Raw genomic sequence first — 26,371 nt, forward strand, 5'->3', positions numbered from 1 at the left:
AAAAAATAGGCTGGGCGCCATGGCTCAGGCCTATAATCCCAGCACTTTGGGAGGCCGAGGCAGGCGGATCACCTGAGGTCGGGAGTTTGAGACCAGCCTGGCCAACATGGAGAAACCCCGTCTCTACTAAAAATACAAAATTAGCTGGGCGTGGTGGTGGGCGCCTGTAGTCCCAGCTACTTGGGTGGCTGAGGCAGGAGAATGGCGTGAACCTGGGAGGCAGAGTTTGCAGTGAGCCAAGATTGCGCCACTGCGCTCCAGCCTGGGTGACAGAGCAAGACTCCGAATCAAAAAAAAAAAAAAAAAAAAGATGTTTAAAAAAAACTTAAAGTCACAGGTAAAAAAGATGTAAGGTGGAAAATCATTCGCCCTCTCATTCCTGTCCCTTAAACAACCAGTTCTCTCTAGATGCTATCACAGTTGGCAGTTTCTTATACAGCTTTCTGGAGACATTAGGTTCATATTAAAATCTCTACGTGTACATTTTTTTTCCTTCACAAACGGTAGCATTCTAAACATACTGTAGGCTTTTAATTTTTAAATGAAAATCTATCTTAGTGATCATTTGATAATACAAATAAAGGTGATTTAGTTTTAAAAATGGTTATATACTATTGTATAGATGAACTAGAATTCATTTAGGTAGCCGTTTATTAATGGATGTTTAGGTTGTCTCCAATTGTGCTACCACAAACAATGCTGTAATCAGCATTCTTGCTTACAGTAGCATCACGTGCATGTCTATTTGTGGGATGTATTCTCTAAAGTGGAACTGATAGTTCAAAGATAGATAAATATTTTACTGGGCAAAATATTATAAAAATTATACATTATAAGGCTGTTTTCCTCATAGGAAGTACAAGTTTATGTCCCCAACATCTCTGCCAACACAGTGCATCATCAAACTTTTTGATCTTTGCTAATCAGTCTAATAGGTGAAAAACAGTATTTCATCTTAATTGCCTTTTTCTCATCATGTATGATGTCCACCACATTGTCCCAGGTCTATTTGTACTTCTGTTTATATCCTTTGCCTTTTCTTAATCGAGTGGTCTTTTGAATGGATTTGTAAGGAGGTCTTTAAGAAGCTAGCCTTTTGTGCAGAGTTACAATATTCACTCTGGTTTGTTGCCATTTGGCTATGTTTATGGTGCTTTTTATTTTTGTGATGTAGAAATGTTCACTTTTTGTGTGGTCCGGTGTACCAAATTTTATGTTATGGCTTCTGTGTTACACATCATATGTATAAAAGCCTACCCTATTGTGAGATTTAAAAAAATATTCATCCATGTGTTCCTGAGAACATGTTCCTGAGGACATTAAGCCATGTGTTTCATGGCTTAGTTTTTCATGTTTAACTCTGGTCTTTCCGGAGTTTGTTTTGGTGGAAGTTGTTGAATATGAATCTAACTTCACCATCCATTGTTAAGATTTTTCTTTTTTGAGATGGAGTTTTGCTCTTGTTGCCCAGGCTGGAGTGCAATGGCGCAATCTCAGCTCATTGCAACCTCCGCTTCCTGGGTTCAAGCGATTCTCCTGCCTCAGCCTCCCGAGTAGCTGGGATTACAGGCATGTGCCACCATGCCCGGCTAATTTTTAGTAGAGACAGGGTTTTTCCATGTTGGTCAAGCTGGTCTCAAACTCCCGACCTCAGGTGATCCGCCCGCCTCAGCCTCCCAAATTGCTGGAATTAGAGGCGTGAGCCACCGCGCCTGGCCCATTGTTACGTTTTTAAAAGTGAAAGATACAATTTGATATTCGGGATGATCTCAATTATGGAAAATATATGTGTAGGAAAAATTAGAAGGAAATATGACAGCATGTTAACAATAATTACTTTTGGTTATTGAAATTTATGCCTCCTAAATTACTACAATAACAGTTATTTCTTAATGATTTTAAAGTTCCTATTGATATAATAAAAATCAGTAATATACCACAATAAGGAAAAATCAGTAGTAGAGAGGGCTGAAATTGTGTGAGAAGAGAATGGGGAAGGGTATATACAATTAGATCTACGCATATAAGCAGGTGAGATATATGATGAGGAATTAAACCCTGGTGAAAAGAAGAGGGGTTGGATTAAGAAGTATTTAGTTGATAAAGACAACAGGCTCTATGAGTATATTTTTAGACCGTTTATTTTGAGGCAACAATGGGACAAGGTAGACATGTCCAATAGGCTGCCAGAAATAAGGTTGTGGAGCTAAGGTGAGGAGGTTCAGACTGTCGATAAACCTGAAAATAAGGGACAAGGAAGTGTGAGGCAACACCATGGGGTAAGAAGAGCTTGTTCCGATGAAAGCCATAGAATGGGAAGAGCCATTAGCCTTGGAAGGAGCCCTGGAGAAATCATACCAATATTTAAGAGCAGGCAGAGAAGGATCTATGAAAGGAGAGGGAGCAAGAAGGGTCAACGTAGAGGCAGGAAAGCCAGGATAATTCACAGGAGACAAGAAGGCAAATTGTACAGAGAGTAGATAAGATTGTTAGGATGTCAGTGATTTTTGCAAAAAACCCCACCAGCATAGGAACACCAGAAATAGGAATGCTTTTATACTGTTGGTAGGAGTGTAAATTAGTTCAACCATTGTGGAAATTCCCCAAGGAATTTGTGTGATTCCTCAAGGATCTAGAACCAGAAATACCATTTGACCCAGCAATCCCATTACTGGGTATATACCCAAAGGATTATAAATCATTCTACTATAAAGACACATGCACACGTATGTTTACTGCAGCAGTATTTACAATAGCAAAGACTTGGAACCAACCCAAATGCTCATCAGTGATAGGCTGGATAAGAAAATGTGGCACATTTACACCACAGAATACTAAACAGTTATAAAAAAGAATGAGATCATGTCCTTTGCAGGGACATGGATGAAGCTGGAAACCATTATCCTCAGCAAACTAACACAGGAACAGAAAACCAAACACCACATGTTCGCACTCGTAAGTGGGAGCTGAACAATGAGAACACATGGACACAGGGAGGGGAACATCACACACCAGGACCTGTTGCGGGGTGGGGGGCTAGGAGAGGGAGAGCATGAGGACAAATACCTATTGCATGTGAAGCTTAAAACCTAGATGATGGGTTGATAGGTGCAGCAAACCACCATGGCACTTGTATACCCATGTAAGAAACCTGCACATGTATCCCAGAACTTAAAGTAAAACAAAACAAAACGAAAAAACACCAGCATATACCTATTGATCACAATGTAGTAAATATGGCAGAAAAACCCCCTAAATTCATGGAGGTAGTCATAAATAATAATTGGACCTTGGAGGAAATTCATTACACAATAAGAAAGTCTTTCTTTTTTTTTTGAGATAGAGTCTTGCTCTATCGTCCAGGCTGCAGTGCAGTAATGCGGTCTCGGCTCACTGCAACCTTCACCTCCCTGGTTCAAGTGATTCTCATGCCTCAGCCTCTGGAGTAGCTGGGACTACAGGTGCATGCCACCATGTCTGGCTAATTTTTGTATATCTTAGTAGATGCAGGGTTTCACCATGTTGGCCAGGCTGGTATTGAACTCCTGACCTCAGGTAGTCCACCTGCCTTGGTCTCCCAAAGTGCTGGGATTATAGGCTTGAGCCACCATGCCCAGCCAAGAAAGTGTCTTTAAAATAATGAAAAAGATAATGCATAAAATCTTTGGAATATAGTCAAAGCCATATTTAGATGAAACTTAATGGTTTAAATATCTTTGTTAATAATACTAGCAAAGTTTAATAATTAAGAATATTTCCTGGCTGGGCGCAGTGGCTCATGCCTGTAATCCCAGCACTTTGGGAGGCTGAGGTGGGAGGATCATGAGGTCAGGAGATCGAGACCATCCTGGCTAACACGGTGAAACCCCGTCTCTACTAAAAATACAAAAAAAAAATTAGCCGGGCGTGGTGGCGGGCACCTGTAGTCCCAGCTACTCGGGAGGCTGAGGCAGGAGAATGGCGTGAACCCGGGAGACAGAGCTTGCAGCGAGCCAAGATCACGCCACTGCACTCCAGCCTGGGCGACGGAGCGAGGCTCAGTCTCAAAAAAAAAAAAAAAAAAAAAAAGAATATTTCCTAATAGCCCAGAAAAGGAAAATAGTACAGTTCCCATGAGAAAATAGGGAACAAGGTTTTAAAAATATTTGTTAAACAAGTTCAAAGTGAAAAAAGGTCAGTAGACACAGCTAAGACAATTTTGTTTTTTAACGTCGTGGCTCTTGGGTTACACATCAGAAAAAACAATTTTAAGAAAAAAAGTGAAGAGGTTTGGAAGTTTGAGAAGAGCCTCGTTTTGGACAATCACTTTGGAAACAGTGTGGGCAGACTCCAGAACTTGCCAAGCAAATGAAAAAGGCTGTTGAGGTTGGAAATGGCCAATGTGGTGGTACCAATTTGCCAAAGCGGGCGATTGTCTTCCAGCTGTGGTTGATGCCCAGGTGTAGTTATAGAAAAGGCAGACGTCTGATTACATCCACAGGTGCAGTTTTGACAGATGGGTGCAACATAAGGGCAAAGAGGGAGAGAAGAACTCTCTCCAGGGCTCAGTGGGTGGTGCAGAATTTCTTCCTCCACAGTTAGAAAATTCCCAAAGCCCCAGCTCCTGTGACTTAGGCTATCCTCTGACTCAGCCCCCTAAGTAGGACTGAAGTCCTAATGTAAATGTCCAATAAAAACAGTCAGAGAAATTATGGTAAATCAACTGAAAGATATCTGTTGAGATAAATATGAAATTTATGTGCAAAAAAAGTATATTCAAAACAATATGACAGTTTCATATATCTGCAGGTTTTAAGAAAGGTTCTATGGGGTCTGTTGAAAGTAACACTGTCTTAAAAAATCAATAAAATAATGGAAAGAAAGAAACATCACCATTCTATAGCAGATGCTCCTTTCAGTCTCTAGAGGAAAAGTTTAGGAGTATTTCTGCCCAGGCGTCCTTTCTGGTGCTTAATAACATTTAAGATCTTTGACCTATAATTTATCAAAATTAAACCCTATCACTTGGATTTATCCTCATAGCCACTGACATTTTGTTGCAAACAAGATTTTTTAAAACGTAAACCAATTTATCAAAGTAAAGGCCACCTATAAAATGAAACGTGTTTAGCTTGTCTGCAGTTAGGCATGCAGATCAAGCAGCCGCGAGGTCTCTGGCTCCTTTTTTGTTGGGTTTTAGACGTGCCTATTTAGACAGTGCAATTTCCTGAAGGCTGAAGGCTGAGAACTGGTGGCTGTAGCTAAGATCCACAGTTCCCTCTTGACATGCTCCTAAACTCAAAGATGACCACATGCTTCATTTGTGGAGTCCTGCAAACTACTTTTGTCAGGGGAAAAAACGCACTTTCCTCACATCTACATATCCTCTTATGAAACTGGTCATATTTCTTCTAAAAGTATCACTGTGACAGTATAGTCCCCATGTATAAAAGCTCCATGTATATGGCAAAGATTTTCTGGCTTCTTTTTTCCCCCCACCTATCAGAATGAGCTTGATCTCATACCAGAAAAGCCAGCTCAAGCTTCCATCAGGTATTAGGAGTTAAATATTAGACTACAGAACACAGTTTTCTAAATTTTATTTTAAAATTATAGTGTGAACCTGCCAATAATGTAAGACATAGCCTTTAAATTATTTAAAATTTATGGAGAATAACTACCTATGGTAGATCAATTAATTCTAGATTTTCCACTTTATGGGTGAAATAAAGCACAAACGATGAAAATTCCTCTTGGTCATTAGATGTCTTCCTTAAAATTTCCTATGGAAATAGGAAATAGGAGTCAAATAAAATGACTTTCACTTTATCCTTTCCAACAGCTATTAGTCACTGGCAACAACACATGAGCAAGGAAGGAAGGAGAAAAGGGGACACGTATCAGTCATCTACCTTCTTCTGGACACGTCATCAAGGATGATGAACTCAGCACAAAAATGCAGAACAATTCTCCCTCCCCCTTCCTAAAATGTATGAAATGTCAGAATGTTTACTGGGCTATTCAGAAGGAAAAAAAGTCCATATAAACACATTTCAAGGCCAGGTGCGGTGGCTCACGCCTGTAATCCCAGCACTTTGTGAGGCTAAGGTAGATGGATCATTTGAGGTTAGGAGTTCGAGAACAGTCTGGCCAATGTGGTGAAACCGTGTATCTACTAAAAATACAAAAATTAGCTGGGCGTGGTGGCGGGCACCTATAATCCCAGCTACTGCACTCCGGTCTGGGCGACAGAGTGAGACTGTCTCAAAAAAATAAAAAACCAAAAAAAACCCCACAAAAAACCCAAACATTTCAGGTGTACAGTAACCTCAACCATTCATAAGAAAGCTACAAACCAGGTGGTAACTAAAAAAGGCTGCAGGGCCGAATTCAGGGAGGCTATAGAGCATAGTCAAAACCTTGCTGGGCTTCCCGAGTGTCCTGGTTTTAAAAGGACAGCAAGGGAACAAGCTGGGCCTCTGTTCCCTCAATCCCTGAATACTGGATTGAATCCAGGGCAAGAGAGCCCATCAGCTAACTTTACTTCACTTCTTGAAGTTAAAGGGCTCTGAATGCTGTATGTAGATTTTTATGCAGATGAGTCTGTGAATCACCTCCCTGTGTCTACTAAAAAAATCTGGTAACCCTTTCTCCCTTTGGAGAGCTTTAATTTTCCCTGTTGCAGAGAAGTGGCATTTCTAAAGTCTTGTCCAGGCTAAAATTCCATAAATTTGAAAATACACTTAGCCTCTTTTATCTGCTGGGATGCCGTAAACAACATGAGACCCGGAATACAATACCACGCACTGTAACATAACTAGGGATAGTTATTTTGATCGGAGTGCCATATTGTCTTGAAACAAAGTTTGTTTGCTTGGCTATTTATAATACAAATAACTTGTTACAGCATCTTTCTTCCAAGTAGGTCAAAATATTTCCATGCATTACATAATTTATTTCTATAACATCCCTGTGAATCATCCAGTAGGTGTTTGTGTGTTAGGATTTATTTTTACTTTAAAGAACTTGAGGACTTTGAGACTGAATAAAATTGAGCAAACATTTGCATTTACAAATGCTTACTGGTTACCATGCCACTTTTTTCTTTTTAATACTAACTAAACAATATCAGAATGGCACTTGGCATTGATCTGTCAAAACACAAGAAGAACAGACATGGAAGGTCAAGCCAAAAAATGCAGTCTCAAAAAAAACTGTTGAATAATATAAACTGGACTCTTACTGCCACAGGATTGGCAAAAGGAGTCTTCACCTGTGGGATTATCACATCTCTCCCTTCAGGGCACACTGAGGCTGAAGGAACCTGGTCATCCCTATAACTTGCAATCACTCTGCAGAGCTCTGAGGAAAACTGCCTGCTTGACTGGACAGCCCAGCTGTGGAAATTCTCTAGAAATAAAGATGCTACACAAAGGTGGTGCCAATTTCTGGACACTTACAGAGAGCATGCCTGGCTTAGAAGACATGGAAAAGACAGGCAACTGAGGGTCATTACATCAAAGGAGCCAGTATACTTCATAGTAGTGCAAAGAAGTACCAGGAAGAATTTGCTGCACTGGTAATAAACCATTCACATATCTCACTGGAGTCTTTTCCTTTTAAATTTGGTATCTTCTAATTGCTTCAGTCCAGGGTCTCAGCAACTGCTGCTGTTTGGATGTTGTCCTTAAGTATGTAGATACCAGGTTGCAAATGGTGAAATAAGGAGTTTACTCTCCACCACTTGTATTTTAGCACTAAAAACCTCAGGGATCAGAAATCTGCAACATGCTTTCATTTTGAGTTGCATGAAACTTTCATTACTTGCCCTAAATCCAAGGCTGAGTTTTCTATACGCATAAATGCTCAGAGCAAGAAGGTATTTGGCCTCAGTATTGTTTGTAATTCCATGATACAATAAGCCCTGTTCAGAATCAACAAACAGCAGCTTCCCTGTGGGTGTTTAGCATCCATGTGAATGTAGGGTAGACCAACTTAACTGAGTTCCATCTTAACTACCTACTAAAAATTTAAAATTGTGCACCCTGCATTAAAGGCCACAATAGTGTGATACTCTGTATTTATCACAATACTTAAGAGGGCTCTCATCCATGGATTAGCACACAAAGTGAAGCCCCATCCCCAGCATTCAGTATGCAGAGGCTCAACTGGACGACGTCCTCACTGCCTTCTCTCTGAAGACGCCCTGCCTCCCATTTCCTGAGAGAGGGTCTCACCCACATGATCAATGGCAGGCAAAAAAAATGAGTGACTTGGCAAATTTGGGGAGGGCCTTCTGATTGCCTACTTGCGCTTCTGCAAGCCGAAAGCAGGTGACAATCAGATTTGACATGCGAACCAGCATTTCCCAGCATGTGTTATGTGAAAATACTAGTCCTAAGTGAGGAAGAAGAAACACAGCACCTTATTCCCTTTACTCCCAAAACAATCACAAAGAATACTTGAATATTAAAGCAGTGGAGAAGCCCTGGAACGTGAGAAGAAAAGTTAGGGACCTGGATTCATTCGCAGAACCTTACCCACCCCCAGTGACACCCATTATACTGTGGGAAATGCTGATCTGCACAAAACTTCTACCCAGCCAGTGCCTTCAACATTCAGAGGCTGGAGGCTGATTCAAAGTACCTTACTTGAATCTCACATAACCCTCTAGCCACATATCCTAAGAAGTGCCTCAGATCTCAATCTCTCTCTCTCTTTTTAAAGACAGGGTCTCTATGTTGCCCAGGCTGGACTCCAACTCCTGGGTGCAACTGATCCTCCCGCCTCAGCCTCCCCAGTAGCTGACACTACAGGCCCATGCCACCATGCTCAGCCTGCATCTGATAATCTGAGCTGTGTGAGTTCCATTAGTTACAACAGAGATCTGCAATATGTTCACGGTCCCTTCTCCCAAATGGTCCCAGACCATACAGATCCCTGTGCTGGGTCACGGTCATACACAGAACTGGCTTTGAGAAGATACGAACCCAGGCAAGTGAAACTTGGTCTGATCTAAAAATTCTGTCACAATGCAGTTCTACAGCCTGCCCTTTCACCCCCTCCTCCCCAACAACTACAACTAATCATTTCATTTGGTTTAAAACGGGTCACCACAATTGGCTTTAATTTCAAGTCATATTTCTGAAAACAGTCTATACAATGTATTTTCTATCATGATGTAAAACATAAAATAATAAAATAAAAAACTCTCATTCTTGTTTAGGAAGACTAAATTTAGAACTGCTTTACATTTGAAGCATTAGTTTTGGGGAAAATTTCACTATTATTTAAATTATTTATTCTGTTTGTGTTTAGCATCCCTAAGATGTGGACAAAACAAGGAACTTCTGTGAGATGAGCCCCTCGTGTTCTTATCACCCAATGGCAAGTGGCCTTCACGGGGCAGCTCCCTTCACTCCTGCGCTCCTCCACAGAGGCGCCAGGTGCCCTTAGGCTATAAGGATTCAAATCAAAACAGGACAAGCTTTACAAAGCTCCTGGTATTGGGCACATATTACAAATTACTCTATTTTATAACAGGAGTATACACAGTGCTCTGAGAACAGAGAAAGAGGGAGTAACTCAGCCAGGGGCTTTGAGAAGTCTTTCCAGGGAAGGTGATGTCTTTGAAGGATGAATAGAATTTCACCAGAGGGAAAGCCTTTCTGCAACGGCAGGCTAATAATAAATATAGAATTCAAAACCCAAGGTTCTACATGAGTAGGAAAACACAGAAAAGGAAAGATAAAAATATCGAAGAAGGAATACAAAGTTTTGGAAAAAGGAGAGAGGAGCTATAAGAAAAAAAGAAAGGTGACTTTAAAAGGAAGTATGTGGAACTGAACATGGGATGGAATTCTCTGGTAACATTACTAGATTGAGGAAGAAGGAAATTACCAGTAAAGTTGTAGTTTCAGAATTATAGCTAGCAAGCAAAATTCGGTTTCTACCAATGAGAATGCCAAACTCCTGTCCCCCTACTCCCAAACCCCCAGAGCTCAGGTTCACTGCCAGCTGCACTCCAGAGCTTTGTACCTGGCACACTGCTTACCCATTCTACTGCCTTGTACCCGGGGACTCACTGCAGGTCTCTCCTCCCACCAGGTTCCTCATCTCTTTAAGACAGTGCTTGGCCCCTTTCCATCATTACTTCCCCTATAGGACCTGCTATGCTTTGCACATAGTGGTGTTAAAACCACTGTTGAATTGTAATTTTTTTTGAGACGGACTCTCGTTCTGTTGCCCAGGCTGGAGTGCAGTAGCATGATTTTGGCTCATGGCAACCTCCGGCTCCTGGGTTCACGCAATTCTCCTGCCTCAGCCTCCTGAATAGCTGGGATTACAGGCATGAGCCACTGCGCCTGGCACACTGTAATTTTTTATTTAATTAAAACAAACAAACAAACCAAATACAATCACAAAGACCCACAAGCCGATTTCTATTCTAGAAGGAGTAAAAATTCAGTTACATTTAGTCACAAGAATGATATATATCAATAGACTAATACAGTATTCATTTTTTTTAACTTCACAAGAAATTTTGGACAATAGTTTTATGTTTTGGTGACTAATCACATGCTTATCTTTTCTTCATTATTCATTTAATAGCCATTATAGCAAATTGCTAATATTTGGTAGTTCTGGAAATAATTTACATATACCTCCAATTATCAGCATATTACATTCAACATTTGCTGTATCAGGCATAAGGTATTTAAACACATCATTACAATTCTACTCCTGCACAAGATTAAGTATGTGGATGTAAGTTACTTTCAAATTCTTTAAACAGAAAAATAATCTGGTTGTGTTAGTCTTAAGAACATAGCTCAAGGTCTGTTCTTTTACCCCTGTGTTTGAGCTTTACTTGGTTACAAAGTGGTTTCATCAGAAGAAAATGTGTTTACTGACTGCCACTGGAAAAAGTGTGAAAATATAAAATATTCTCACTGGTTTTGAGATTCCTAATACTGTATATATAATATACTGGCCTAGAATAAGAAAGAAATGTTAACATTATGCTTAATGCCACTTTTTTGACACTATCTGAGAGGGAACTCTATGTCAACAAAACTATGACCACTCTACAAGAACAAAGTACAGTCAAATATATCTCTTCCTGAGCGCAGAGGGAAAGCCATTTTCCCGTAGGTGGATATTGAGGTTTTAATAAACAAGTGGAGTGATGTTAATAGACAATGGCTGTAAGCTCAAAATATTACATTATTAAAAATGAGCATTAGGCTGTGTGTGGTGGCTCATGCCTGTAATCCCAGCACCTTGGGAGGCCGAGGCGGGTGGATTACCTGAGATCAGGAGTTTGAGACCAGCCTGGCCAACATGGTGAAACCCCGTCTCTATTAAAAATATAAAAATTAGCCGGGCATGGTGACGGGCGCCTGTAATCCCAGCTACTCGGGAGGCTGAGGCAGGAGAATTGCTTGAACCCAGGAGGCAGAGGTTGTGGTGAGCTGAAACAGCACCACTGCACTCCAGCCTGGGCGACAGAGTGAGACTCCATCTAAAAAAAAAGGAAAAAAAAAAAGTGTTAGATAAAATTTTCTGAAACCAAAGTTTTCATTTTTGGTACATGTTAAGTGGCTCCTAACTCAAACTAACCCTACAGACTTACAGTTTATAAATTATTTGAAGATCTCATCTGAATATTATTTTGTTTAAAAGAGATGGTCTGTTATAATAATCCCTCTAAAAAAATCTCTAAGGGGGCCAAGCGCAGTAGCTCACATCTGTAATCCCAGCATTTTGGGAGGCCAAGGCGGGAGGATTGCTTGAGCCCAGGAGTTCAAGACCAGCCTGAGCAACACAGTGAGACCCTGTCTCTAAAAAAAAAAAAAAAAAATTAAAAATTAGCTGGGTGTGGTGCTGCATGCCTGTAGCCCCAGCTATTTGGGAGCCTGAGGTGGGTGGATCACTTGAGCCCAGGAGGTCGAGGTTGCAGTGGGCTGTGATTATGCCACTGCATTCCAGCCAGAGTGACAGTGAGACCCTGTCTCTTAAAAAGACAATCTCTAAGGAACAGAACAGAAGGGCTTTGAATTGCAGTGGGTTCAAAGTTCTTAGGGGTCTTTGACTCTGTCCGTGGGAAATCCCTCAAGGTAAAGAATTGGCTTTCTACTCAGTCTAGAGCTTGTATGGGAGTGTAACTTCACATCCACTGGTGTTTAAAACAGGGGTCCCCAAACCCTTGTCTGTGGCCTATCAGGAACTGGGCTGCACAGCAGCAGATGAGCGAAGCTTCATCTGTATTTATAGCCACTCCCCATCGCTCACAATACCACCTGAGCTCCACCTCCTGTCAGATCAGTGGTGGCATTAGATTCTCATAGGAGCACAAACCCTATTGTGAACTGCGCATGCGAAGGATCTAGGTTGTGCACTCCCTATGAGAATCTAACGCCTGAAGATCTGTCCCTGTCTCCCATCATCCCCAGAGGGACCCATCTAGTTGCAGGAAAACAAGCTCAGCGCTCCCACTGATTCTATATTATGGTGAGTTTCATAATTATTTCATTATATAGTACAATGTAATAAACAGAAATAAGTACACAATAAATGTAATGTGCTTGAATTATCCTGAAACCATCCCCCACAACCCCAGTCCGTGGAATAATTGTCTTCCATGAAACCAGTCCCTGGTGCCAAAAAGGTTGGGGACCACTGGTTTAAAATGTATGAAAAGTTGGGGTGAACTGAGCACTACTTATGAAGGATTGCCTAAAAGACAAGCCCTGTATCTACTCTTCTAGATATGCTAAGCTGTGTCTGTTGGATGTGCCAAGGACCTGCAATTTTGGTTACCTGCAAAATGCTTTCCTACTGTGGCCTTGTGCTACCAGCCAACGTGACAGGATGCCAGAAGCACAGGCCCTTTGAAACTGTTGTACTTATGCTGAGGATGCTGCCCTTCATTGAAAGAGCATAAGAGAATGTCTTCCGCTTTAGCACCAGAAAGAGTTACAATTCTTCTAAGAAAGTGGCTGCTTCGGTATCACAGACACTCTGACTCACATTACTAATCATGGTCCTCTCCCTGCATAGGCTGCTGGGAAGCTCAGAACCAGACCTGAGGCCGTGCTCCTGGCTGCTTACTGTCCTGCCTTCTAACCACCCTTTTGCTTGGAAACCTCATCCCAGGACTTATTTTGGTTTTCCTATTCTTATTTTCCTGATTTTTCTTACTTAACACACCCACAAACAATTCTGATCTGTGGTTAAAAATATATCGAAATTCAGAATAAAATTAAATGCAACTTGTTTTCAAATAAACTATGGGAGTATAAACTATATACTGAGAGACATGATAGGGTTCTAAAATTTCTTACTGAGAATTTGGAACAACAATGTTAAATGATGGTAAGGTTCACAGGGCAGTCCAAGTAAATTTAATTTAACCATGCTGCAGCAAAATGACAGTGTTAAGAGAAGTCACTCCCAGCGTAATTCTATACTCATGTTAAAAAAGAAATTCTTATTAGAGGATTTGTGTTTAAAGAGACATCATTGATTATCTGAATTTGTATAGGCACTGGATATATTAAGTCAACTAACAAATCATAAGCATTTAAATAGGAGTAAGTCCAGGGGCCTTGTAAATAACCCATAGTTTATTCAGTCAGTTGACTTGTTCTTTTTTCCTTACATAAACAAGTAACAGGGTGATTTAATTCAGTGAGAGTGGTGAAGTGAATACAGATCTGTGAAGAACAATAAAATGTTAATTTTATGATCCTGTTTATTTTGCTGAAGTTTCTACATGATAGGAAACAAATGCAAATTTTGACCCAGGGTCAGTCCTTACTATTTCCAGCAGCAGAAAATGAATCTACTAGGATACCTGAATTTTATAAGCAAATCCAACCTATTTCATATAAACATAATAAGGTCTTGGACACAGTTATTCATAGTCCGAGACTATTAACTGGGCTCTCATTCAGCATTTATGCATTTGAAATCTACCTAGTCAAATTTTCTTGACAAAATGTTAGCCTCTAAAGGAAGAATTCTGCTTCTGATAACCCATTATGCTACTTTTACACGCATGTGTTAAGCAAGCAGCAGAATCAGATTTGGAATTTAGAAAGATATTCTTTCCGGTGGCAATAGGCAGGATGCCTGGCAGAGCAAAGAACAGGAGGTAGATAGACCCGGAGGGGGCTGTACAAAATGCAGACAGAAACTGATGAACCAACAAAAAGCAATCAACTCGTGAGACATAAAGAAGGTCCGGCAAGGGAAATAAGTGAGAGAACCTGCTGGGCATAAGGACCTACTGACTACGGTAAAGTAAGGGGAGAAAGTGAAGTGACTTCCAGCTTGCACAAGGAAATACTGGGATGATGAGAGGCAATGCTGGAGTGTTGAGTTTGCCTGAAGGATTAGGTTGGGGATGGGTTAGGGATGATGTGGAGTTTTAGTTTAGATACGAGGTGTTGGTAGCATAACCAGAAAATGCCCAGGAGGCCCCTGGAAAGGACAAATGGAGGGGAATCACTAGAGCACACAAGGTTGGAGCCATGAGTTGTGGGCATCTAGGGAGGGTGTGGGAAGGTCAAGATGGAGTGCAAGGGGCCTCCAATGTCAAGCGGAGCCAAGAGAGGAGCAGACAAGGAGAAGGTGGTGTCCCGCACGCTAGGGAAGGAAGAAAGAAGCTGGAGACTGGTTAATTGGGCCAAAGATACAATGAAGGAAAGTGACAAGAAGGAAGGTGGCAGGCCAGACTGCAGCAGAGTGAGGAGTGAGGGCAGCTGACAGCCGGGAGAGTGCACAGACCATTCCCACCAGCTGCAGGCTGTCAGGGTATCACTGACTTCCTAATCGGCACAGGCCACATTGGTCTTTTCCCAAGGCTCTTCCAGACCTGCAGAATCTGGGTTTCTGCTCTATGAGGGTCCCTGAGCATAGGCCCTTAAAAACATTCTCACCACCCCCATAGGGAACAGTACCTGGCCATGGCGCAGAACAAGTGCATGAGAGGACAGAGAGAGAAGGGAAGCTGATGCCCCCGGCAGGGATGCTCATGCTGCCTGCCGCAGCCAATCAGGTGGAACCCAGGGCCTGTGGTCTAGGATCTTTCCTTCCATTAAGGTAAACAGGGCAAAATAAGACTCAAAACACCACAGGCTTCGAAGACATCACCTTTCAGTACTCCACCTAGCTCTGCCAAACCTAGCCTCAGCTGTATCCTATTGCTGAAAACTCTCCTTACAGTACATCCAACCTTTCCAGGCCTTCTCTACGTCTGCTTGTTCCCTGACTCACTCTGGTAAAATCTCACCTCCTATCTTTCCTTTCTCTTCATTTTTTCTGCCATCCATTATTACTACTCTGCAGAAGTATTTACATTAACACTACTCCCCCTCCTCTGCTGACACTTTGGAATATGGCATGTACCCAAGTTAATTTATTTTCAATGTATAAAACTGTACCCTTTGTGATAATATTACCTTAGGATACTCAAACACAATACAAAAATATTTACTTAAGAAATCTAAAACAATAGCAGCTGGGAGAAATATCTATTAAAATACCAACTGTGAAATGACAGTTGTTAAGTATCTGTTTTACCCTGTTTTAAAAGAAGAGCACACCAAGGGTTTTGCCAAGCTGGGGAGGAGTGGAGTTCCAAAGACAAGACATCCTGGGCAAAGTACTCAGGGGCTTCCGTCTCCCCGCAGACAGGTCAACTGAGGATTGTAAACCCGCAGCAGTAGTATCCAATGTAGGTCCCAGCTTTGTGAGCATGGCCAGGGAAAGAAAGGACTGCTAAGAAAATGAAAATAATTATTTAGGGAGTAACAACTAAAGAGTCCACATGCTGACCTGTAATTTAAGTCAAGGGGAGGCAAGAACAGAAAAAGCTTCACTGAAACACCAGCAGCGCCTCAATGGCGGGGGCCCACTTGGAGGGACACTGGAACGCGTCAGTCTTATTATCACTTACATAAAGAAGCACATCCAAAAATGCAAAAGGAGGTGGAAGCAGGGAATGTACCTGCCTGAACCAACGTGGAATACGGGGAAAAACGTTGGCTTTGGAGAATCCGGTGTTAAGCTGGCTCCATACCAACTTTGTTATTTTAGGTTACTTCTATTCTATGAACTGCAGCTTTCTTGTTTGCAAAATGGGGGAAATTAAAAGTGCCTGCTTAATAGAGTTTTTATGACAGTTAAATAAGACAATGCAAGGAAGGGCCTAGTATGTGTCCGGCCCATGGGAGATGGTTAATAAAAAAAAAGAGCTGTTATGATTGTATTTGTAAAATGAAGTAAGAATCCTCATTTCATAGTGACTCTATACTAAATAAAACAATGCATATTAAAGTCTATAACATACAGTGCGTGACAGACAGCATGTATTCAATCAATGTTAATTCACTCTGAAGCTACCTTTTCTTCTCAGTCTACCAAATAATAAGGGATTTGTGTAAGTATGGAGGAGAGATCCCTAAGGCAGTAAACAGTCTCGTAGGCAAGTACAGACTTTATTAGCATTACAATGGTTTTCATCAGAATTTGAATGAAACCAATTCTTCCAATGCTTTTGATCCCTGGAATCAGACTGTAACTTGGCCTCAGTATAGAATTTTGTACAGCATAGGCATTTATGAGACCACTGCCTCCAGTGTATTCAGTGATCAAAAGTATTGGAAGTTTCTGCTGTAACATAAATCTTAGTAGAACATAAACTCCATGAAGGCTGAAACTTGATAAGTTCTATTTCGCTGATGAATCTCCAGTGCCTAGAACAGTGCCTGTTACACGGTGGAAGCTCAGTAAACATTTGTTAATTGAATGAATATGGTTCGCAGGCATATGTTATATATCAATATCAAAAAGTTCCTGTCCACAAGGATTAGAGACAGGAAAACAGGCCGTGGAGATAACTGGAAGTAAAATGGTGATACATCGTGCCATTGGCCTGACTCAGAAATATTGGAGATTCTAATAGAGGCCTTCATCTTCTTTAGCAAGGCCCTAAGATCCTCCAACCTAAATAAGAAACTCCCAAACACTCCCGGCCATATTACTACTACCTTAATCTGTAAGTGCTTTACAGATTACAAGGCCTTCACACACACATTGTCTCAGTTATAATTTCCTGGCTTGCTTACACTTTTTTTTTTTTTTTTGAGATAGAGTCTCACTCTGCCACCCAGGCTGGAGTGCAGTGGTGTGATCTCGGCTCACTGCAACCTCTGCCTCTCTGGTTCAAGCGATTCTCCTGCCTCAGCCTCCTGAGTAACTAGGACTACAGGCACGTGCCACCACGCCTGGCTAATTTTTTGTATTTTTAGTAAAGATGGGGTTTCACTATGTTAGCCAGGATGGTCTCGATCTCCTGACCTCGTGATCTGCCCGCCTCGGCCTCCCCAAATGCTGGGATTACAGGCGTGAGCCACTGCGCCCGGCCACTTATACTTTTAAATTAAGAGTTCCTACTCTAGGCAAAGCCAGTGGGAGATTTAAAAATACATGAGGCTGGGCACAGTGGCTCAGGCCTGTAATCCCAGCACTTTGGGGGGCCGAGGCAGGTGAATCTCCTGAGGTCAGGAGTTCGAGACCAGCCTGACCAACATGGTAAAACCCCCAACTCTATTAAAAATACAAAATTGGCCAGGTGTGGTGGCGTGCGCCTGTAATCCCAGATACTCGGGAGGCTGAGGCAGGAGAACCACTTGAACATGGAGGCAGAGGCTGCAATGAGCCAAGATCATTCCATTGCACTCCAGCCTGGGCAACGAGAGCGAAACCCCTTCTCAAAACAACAACAACAGCAACAACATGAATATGACAGGATTTCTGCTCTTTTTTTTTTTTTTTTTTGAGACGGAGTCTCGCTCTGTCGCCCAGGCCGGACTGCGGACTGCAGTGGCGCAATCTCGGCTCACTGCAAGCTCCGCTTCCCAGGTTCACGCCATTCTCCTGCCTCAGCCTCCCCAGTAGCTGGGACTACAGGCGCCCGCCACCGCGCCCGGCTAATTTTTTGTATTTTTAGTAGAGACGGGGTTTCACCTTGTTAGCCAGGATGGTCTCGATCTCCTGACCTCATGATCCACCCGCCTCGGCCTCCCAAAGTGCTGGGATTACAGGCGTGAGCCACCGCGCCCGGCCAGGATTTCTGCTCTTAAAGAGCTGGATATAGCAGGGCTGGGAGAATTCTTCAAGGGCGAATTTGAAGGGCAAATGCTCAGTTCGTGTGTCTGCTCCACCCACACTTGTCCCATTTGTTTTGCCTGTACCCTGTGCTTTCTTTTATTTGCAGTGCCCCGTCACCGAGTCAGACAGTCAGGACTGCAGTGACGCTCATGCCCGGGGCGCACAGCGTGCGGGGTTCTAACCTGCTGGCCATGTAGCTCCCACTCTTGTGCACACGGCAAGGACTCTGCGAACAGGAAATAAATCAACCATATTCTCCTTTCTTAGGTACCAATATTCTGAACACATTTTTCTCCAGGCTGGCAAGTGAAAATATAAAAGAATTGCAAAATGAAAACAGGTTGCGCTGAAAGGCAATAACTCTTTCCTCCATTCTTAAAGAAGAAGAAAAAATGGAGGATACAATAAAAATAAACACTGGAGTCCCTCTTATTCCCTAGGGTTAGAAGAATTCTGGGAAATAATTCCCTGTGATAATAATTACATGCCTGAAGTATATGAAGCGTTTGAGAGACCGTGGGTTAAAGTTAATTACTATGAAAATAATATTACCAGAAGACTATATATGATAATAGAAGCTATGAAACAAGAAGTTATTTTTATATATCAGTTATTTTTAATTAATTAAAACAAAGAGTTATTTTTCCATACTTTATCTTTCAAATTGGTTCTTCTGGCCTTTGAAAATCGTTGGTGAAACAGATGGTGGCATCTTAATAAAACAAAGTATCTACAATCATATGGTGGCAGACATTTCCAATGACATGAACCTTTTTTATTCCTACACCAAATTTTGCCCATAATCTGAGATGTCTCAATATCTGGGGTAACTTTTCCTTACGTTCTTATTTTTTAAAAGGGAAAGGAAATGATTTTGAAGACACCGTATTTCTAACATATCTTGTTTCCTGAATTTAGTCTAAAGATGGTCCCAGACATGCGATGGTTTGACTTAGGATTTCTCGACTTTATGATGGCATGAGAGCAACAGGCATTCTGTACAAACCATACTTCGAGTACCCATACAACCACTGTGTTTCCACTTTCAGTATAGCTTTCAGTAAGTTACATGAAATATTCAATACTTTATTATAAAATAGGATTTGTGTTAGATGATTTTGCCCAACTGTATTCTAAGGGTAGTGTCCTGAGCACATTTAAAATTGGCTAGCTAAGCCATATGTTCTGTAGGTTGGGTGTACTGCATTAAATATATTTTCAACTTATGACAGTTTTATGGGAATGTGACCCTGTCCTAAGTCAAGGAGCATCTGTCCTTCTTAAAAATGCTACTGATATGACATCTCTGTAATACATCCCTTCCCCCATCCCTGCTCGTTCCTTAGGGGATGGACCAGATCTGAAGATCTCAGGGGATGGGGAGCCAAAAGCAGAGGGGTGAGAGTGTTGGAAAGGAGAAGAGAGACTCCTCTCTGGGCTAGTTTGTGAGTTCAGCCAGAACACAGGAAGAAACAGATCCAGACCTGAGTCCCTTACTCTGTGAGGAGAAGCAGTTCTGACCTAGCTTGGGATAGAGGGTTGGGACCTGCTGTCTGCATGGCCACCTAGCATGAGGCACCGAGAGGGCCACAACAACAGTGACGATGTGGGCAGATGGGTCAGTAGTGACAGGCTGCACACATGGACATTCAACTCATGAGGCACAAAGGGCCCATCTGCGCTGACTGTGGGCTGTGGTACAAGACATGTCAGGATGAGTGTGGAGCTTTCATGGCACTGACGGGGGTAGCTGAGTGTAGTTCTGAGAAGCGGATGGCATCTGAGGTGGGGTTGGGCAGGCTGAGGGCTGTTTTCCTGGTTCCTGCTGAGGCTCATCCCCTGCTAATTGTCTTCTCCAAATTATCCTGTTACTGCATGGCTATGCATTAGCTCTTTGTTTGCCTACAACACATATGTGACACTGATCCCAAGGACAAAGGAATCATGCTGACTTTATTTGCAGGAAGACCTTAAAAAAAAAAAAAAAAAAAAAAAAATATATATATATATATATATATATATATATATATATATATATATATATATAAAATAGGTGAATTTCTGGAACAAAAAAGATCAATATAAATTTGGTTTGGGAAAACAGCACCTGATCTTAAAATTCTATGGGAATCTTTCATGTTCTTATGTGATGAGGAAGGAAGGACAAGGAAGTGAGTGACTGGGTCTGAACATGGCCGCCCCGGTAGTTCACCCAAATCCCTTTACTCCTACTTGTTAATAAGCAGCACACACACATGCAGTGTTCACTCAGCCAACGGTTCTTATGCTTTGCAGTGTTCTGTCACTGTGGAAACAGTTAACTCAAACACAGTTCTTACACCCATGGAGGATGGCAGTCTAGTGAAAATGTGGCAAGAGTGATGGGGACATGTTATAGCCAGGACTTTGCATACGGTGTCTGGAAGACAAGAGAGGGGCTGCCATAAACATAACTCATACACACAGACTTGTGCACCCCACAAGCTGTCTGGCATTGATATTGGGCTGACAGTACTGAGCAAAAGCAAATCTAGTCCTTGTCCTTGACTTCCTGGAGCCTGAGGCCAGAGAACCATGATTCAGATCAGAACAAAATAAATGTACAATTACAAGTGGTGCAAGTGTCACTGTGGAAACGTGTATGGGGCTGTGAACTTACAGGACTGCAGAGTGCCTTGCTGGGGTCCAGGCGAGTGAGTGCAGAAGATCTTAAGACAGAGGGACAGCATGAGCACCAGGGAGCAGAGCATTTAAGAAGCTGAGAAAATGCCAGAGTGACAATACCATCCCCAAATGGGAAGGTGACAGGACATAAGGCGAGAAAGGCAGGAAACACAGACCATGGTAAGGATTCTGGACTTTATCCCAAAAACAATAAGAAACAACTATAGTTTTTTCCTTATTCTTCTTCTTTCCTTTAAAAAATTAAAAAAAGGGAGCAGGGTGGTGTTGGGCAGTTTCAGAGTGCTTACCCAGAGTTGACCTATAAGTTGAATTTTGAAGGATGAATAAAAATTTGCTAATAAGGAAGGAAAGTGTGTTCCAAACATAGGAAACAATATGGAATCACATGAAGGTCTACAGCCGTGTGGCACTATTAAGAAAATGCAAGAAGTTGGATTTGCTGACATGAAGAGTAGACAGGAAGCGAGAGGCAAGAACAAGAGTGCCATGTGAAGCTAAGAATGAATTCCATTCCAGAAACCACATGGCGCCACTGGCAAATTTGAAGCAAGGGGGTGGAGTGGCTGGGTGAGACCGTGCAGGTTCTGGAGTCAAAGATTGGGTTCAGTTCTCTGTTCTCCTTACAAGGTCTTTAATTGGAGAAACCACTGAACTTCCTCCTCCTAAGAATTCCCCAACTACCACATTTATCCTAGTGCCCAGCACACAGCTCAGTTAGTTGCTGCTGTACTTGAGAAACCTCACAGTAAGGAGGGCAGGGTGCAGGGGGGACTGAGAGTGGTATACGGACACAGCCACCCAGGTTAGAAGTCAGCATGGGATGGGTGAAGGTAGTGAGGGTGAAGTGGAGGGAGTGGGCCTGGGAGGTGTCCAGACAGAATGCGGGGAAGTTGGGGCGAGGAAGGAGTCTTGGACAAATGCCCAGTTCCAGCTTTGTTGTGGCAGGTCTGGGTGGATGTGGAGCAGTTGCCTATGTACCTTGGAAGGGCCCTCACAGGAGGCAGGTGAGTAGTGTCTGGTACTTGGGAGAGGGGCTGGGGCTGGAAACAGAGACTTGGGAGTAAACACAGAGGTGGCAATTGAAACCACGGAATGTGATAAAATTACAGGGAAAGTGCAAAGAGGGAAATGGGTGAAGGACCACCCACAGAGATCTGAGGTGTCTGGACATACTTTTATACGTCAGAGCCTCAAGTGAAAACAGTCCTTGAGACACAGGAAAGGAGATGTGTCTAATCCGGGTGCTGAGACTGATGGTCACGGTCAGGATTCTGCGGCCCACAGCGGGCAGAGCTTGTGAGCAATGCCCATTCCAGAAGGGTGCCTGATCAGGGTCTGCTCTGGTTTGGTTATACCCCCATTGGGAATTTACCTCAAGTTTCAAGTTTGAGGCAAAAGCATGCTATGCTCACTATGTTAATGTCCCCCCAAGTCCAGAGGCCCCCACAGTGCTGGAAGCTTTTGATTCTTAGTCTGAGGAGGAGAGAAACAGAACACTAGACTACCGGATGCAGTGAGTGCTCAAACAAGATTTGCTGGATGAATAAAAGACAACTGGACTAAGACAGGAGAATCCATGATCCTTTCTGGCTCCAATCTGTCTGCAAGGAATTGCTTTCTCATTTAATTTAGCTTTTTGTTTAGTCAAGCGTAAAGGAGATTTTAGTTAAGAGACACTTTTGCCTATAGAAGTGATATCTGGTTAAAACAATATCACTCTTAGGAATCAGATGTGGAGGAGAGTTAACTGTATAGGGAAAATATCTGAGTGAATATGCAGAAAACATGTATAAAATCCTTAAGTCAGTAATTATGCTACAGAGTAATATTCATAATTACAATGAATTGATCACGTAAGTTAACTTGGAATAAACTAGGCCAAAGGGAGAGGGTGGTAAACCCTTTCAGAACATCACACCAGGAACAAAAGAATAAATACATACAGCTTAATAGATGCATCAGTGATGTCTAATGAGGGCAGCAGCCATCCATTAAATAAAAAAAAATTACTCTGAGAGCAGACATAATCAACTAATTGAGCAATGATGAACATTAATAGTTTACAGTTATAGTTATTTACTATAGTTATAATTAATCGGCAAATTATTAACATTAATATAGAAAATATACATAAAAACTGGATGAAAAAGAGAGAAATAAGCAGATATAGAGGGCTACACATTAAGTTAACACCCAGATCCAGGTACCTGCTTTAAGATCATGCCTGCAATGTCCAGATGCTCTCAGGAAGTGATACTGTACACAAAGGTACTCAAGAAAAATGTCTTCCTCATACCAAGAAGGCAGTGTCCTCTACGTTTGATGCTTCATTTGGAATAACTTTTCTTCTTCCAATGATATTCTCATAACCTTAGTTTGATTTGTTCTCTCTAATCCAACATATTCAACCAAACACTAAGGCCAGCTAATTCTGTTTATCAACATACCTCAAAGCCAGTCCCCTTCTCCCTGTGCTGTCACATTGCTGTAGCCAGGCCTCTGGAAACATCTGAGTAAACTCAACTAGGGCAATGGCCTCCTGACTGGCCTCTATGTCTTCCGCGTCTTTTCTATATGGGGTGAGCTAGCTAAAGGAGAGTCTGCAATCTGCAGAAAACACCTGAATGGCTTTTCAATGCCGAGGACCACGTTCTAGCATCTTATCTTAGCACAGCATACAAAGCTCTCTGTGATTAGTAGTCCCACCTGTCTCCACCCTCATCTCCCACTACATGCCATCAGCAACACAGAGTGCTAGTAGTTCCTTACAGCCAACACCAACTACACTGTTTGTTTCTCATCTGCTCCTGCCTCCCTTCCCCAGCTAGTCCCTACTAGCCCTTCACAGCTCAGGTCAGCCACCACTGCTTTCTTCAGCTCCGATCCCCTTTCGGGTTAGGCTGCTGTCTCTCCTATCTGCTTCCACAATATTCTGTTCCATTTCACTATTGGTATATTGTCACCATGCTGTTGTAGAAATTTCAGGGAATCTATCAGTCTATGCCCCGAACTACAGGTGCCTCTTGGGCAAAGGTTATGTTTTGTTTATCTCTGCATCCTCAGCAAGGAACAATGAGTCTGGCGCAAGGCAGGTACCCAATAAATGTTTGCTGAATGAAACATCAAACAAGCATCATATCAAAGCTACATATTACAGTGACAGAGTTCTTTGGATGACTAATAAATATCTGGTTAAGTATATGGTTCAACAAATTTAACTGAATTGGCAAAGTGACGGTTAGCTATGAGAAATTTCAAAGATTTGGCAGCTGGACTACCAGTGTAAGAGACAACTATGTAGTAATTAATTCATCTGTATCTGCTGAAATACAGAAATGATTTTGGAGTACCTACTAGAATACCAAATATTCTGCTAGAAAGTTCTGCAACTGTAGTAGTCTCAATTTACAGATGACACACAGCGAGTAAATGATTTATACCAAGGTCACAGAATAAAAAAACCAGTTGGCCTAAAATTTGAGTCAAGGTTTCTTAATTTAAAGGCCAGAAATCTTTCTAAATCAAGACTGCCTCACTCATGATACTCATCCATTATACTGAAAATAATATGTAAGTCAAAGTAGTTCAGGAGTCACAATTTTGGGGAAAGATAGGGTGAAAAGAAAATTAGGGGAAATTTCTAGAAGGAAGTCACTGTGATTTTTGCTTTTTTTATCACGAAAGATCATTTCTGCGATCTATTTTTTAACCTCAAAACGTCTGAGTTAAGAGAACTATTAATACAATCAAACAGAATTCCAATGAGAACCTATGAAACCACACAGATGATTAAGATATCACAGTGATACATTATGTCATAACCTTGGCAACTTGCATTCCTATCACAGATCCCGACAACAGCCAGGAGGACCCGCCTTAACTGAGCTGAACTTTGCTAAATCTAGAAACTCTCAGCTTGGTTCATGTAACTTACCTAGTTTTATTACTTCATTTGGTTTCTGAAGGTCAGAACTTTCCTAAATTGGCTAGGTACCAGTTGATTGGGGAAATACTAAGAGAAATGAAATCTATGATCTGATGAGGTGGGATTCAGTGTGAAGAAAGGGGTATACAGGAGAAGTAATATGACATGAAGTACCTTTCATCCTCAGCAAAGTCTGCATATGACTATTGACATGAGTCATTAAGAGGTAATTTTCTATTAGGTTCATTATAGCCATTTCAAACAGAATGTTTTGTAATCACACTTAGCATACAAAAGAGTATTATCCTACTGCAACAAAGAATAATTTAGAGATACTTTAAGAAAATTCTATTTACTTATAATTGTACTTTTTGGCCTAACTTTACTCCTCATTTTCTTATATTCTCTATCTTTATTTTCTCATTGCTTTGACTCCCTCATTATTTTTTAATTATAACAAGTATTTTATTTTATTATATTTTACTATATGTATTTTTGTAAGTTTTAAAAATGCTTTAAAGGCCAAGGCAAAGTATAAATAGAATAAGTGCAATTTAGAAACTCTTGTAAACTACAGTCAATAAATCAGCAATGACACGCAGATCTAATAACTTTTTAACACTTTGCTTTAATATCTAGAGTAAAAAAGAATGTTATTTTTCACCCCAAAACCTTGGCTGCTATATAATTTTCTCAATCTAAATATCTTAAATATTTTCTACTCTAAGTTAACCGTACTATTTTTATTTTTTGAAACCATTATCATTAAACCTGGCAGAACTTAGCAATGTAAGAGAAAAAAATGTTTTTTGGAAACTCCAGCATATTTAACAATAATGAATAATCTTTCAAAAGTCTAAGAAACTGCTTTTAGGCACACATGAATCACCTCTAGTTGCCTGTGGAGCATTGTTGAAGAGGTCAGGTAACAATAGTTCTTTGTAATACAGCGCCACAGGCTCTATATGAAATCCAGTAATATAAATTCAGAACAAACGTAAGAACTGATATGGAAACAACTTAGAAAATTTTACAAAGCAGTCTTTTTCTCTTTTAATTTTCCCTTCCTTTACTATGTTCTTACATATGGTATAATAAAAGAGTGAAAGCAATTTTTACAGACATGTATGATGTGTTCAACATTTCATAGAGAGCAAAACTCTTATTTGGCTGCTTAAAATAGAATACAATGTTATTTAAAAAATATTTCTGTAATACGATATATGACAGCCAAAACATCATTATGCAAGGTGTCTCCTCAGCCCCAGTACATTCTGCAAATCTCCACTGTTCGGGCACTATTTCAATTTGCATGCTTCCTCTGTAAGTTTCTTGAGCCGTCCTTATATGTACATTGCATATGCGCAACCATACTACAATCTTGTGACAGCAGGGCCATCTTGTGTTTGATTCCACCTATTACTAGGTTCTAGTGTGGTAATATATACATACACACACACACACTGTGAGTTTTCAAGAAATATTAGGAAGAAATGGATTTGTTGATTTGTCTCCAGAAGAATATTTGGCATGAAGGCTTTCACTGTAGCTGCCCTGTTTTACAAAGTGAAAGGTGCTTGTTAATACTATTCATATTAGGGT

General features: G+C 41.3%; 2 protein-coding genes and 2 long non-coding RNA genes across 13 annotated transcripts in view, besides 1 other annotated feature; 2 read left to right on the forward strand and 2 right to left on the reverse strand.

Annotated features, from left to right (window-relative positions):
- LYRM4-AS1 (LYRM4 antisense RNA 1) overlaps nucleotides 1-15,538 on the forward strand; it is a 236,681-nt gene extending 221,143 nt beyond the window's left edge. The window contains exon 4 of the long non-coding RNA NR_126015.1: nucleotides 12,750-15,538. This is a non-coding gene — a long non-coding RNA (LYRM4 antisense RNA 1). The remainder of the gene's footprint in view (nucleotides 1-12,749) is intronic.
- The window catches only part of LYRM4 (LYR motif containing 4), a 229,198-nt gene that overhangs the window by 193,206 nt on the left and 9,621 nt on the right, over nucleotides 1-26,371 (reverse strand). The window lies entirely within an intron of this gene.
- Nucleotides 5,227-6,426: an enhancer, noted in NCBI's record as "P300/CBP strongly-dependent group 1 enhancer chr6:5230418-5231617 (GRCh37/hg19 assembly coordinates)". NCBI's record gives its function as "activates an origin of replication core promoter dependent on BRD2, BRD4, P300/CBP, MED14 and CDK7 cofactors, with strong dependence on P300/CBP, by STARR-seq in HCT116 cells {active_cell/tissue: HCT116}" and the evidence as "EXISTENCE:reporter gene assay evidence [ECO:0000049][PMID:35650434]".
- Nucleotides 13,593-20,130, reverse strand: LOC124901249 (uncharacterized). Its single transcript, XR_007059423.1, has 2 exons — nucleotides 18,342-20,130; nucleotides 13,593-15,765 (listed from the first exon to the last, which is right to left on the reverse strand). It is a non-coding gene; the product is annotated as an uncharacterized LOC124901249 (long non-coding RNA).
- The window catches only part of FARS2 (phenylalanyl-tRNA synthetase 2, mitochondrial), a 521,650-nt gene continuing 520,254 nt past the window's right edge, over nucleotides 24,976-26,371 (forward strand). Inside the window, exon 1 of the mRNA XM_047418086.1 lies at nucleotides 24,976-24,995. The gene's annotated coding sequence lies outside the window, so the exon portion shown is untranslated. The remainder of the gene's footprint in view (nucleotides 24,996-26,371) is intronic.

Source organism: Homo sapiens, chromosome 6 (assembly GCF_000001405.40).
Source record: "Homo sapiens chromosome 6, GRCh38.p14 Primary Assembly".
Lineage (NCBI taxonomy): Eukaryota > Metazoa > Chordata > Mammalia > Primates > Hominidae > Homo > Homo sapiens.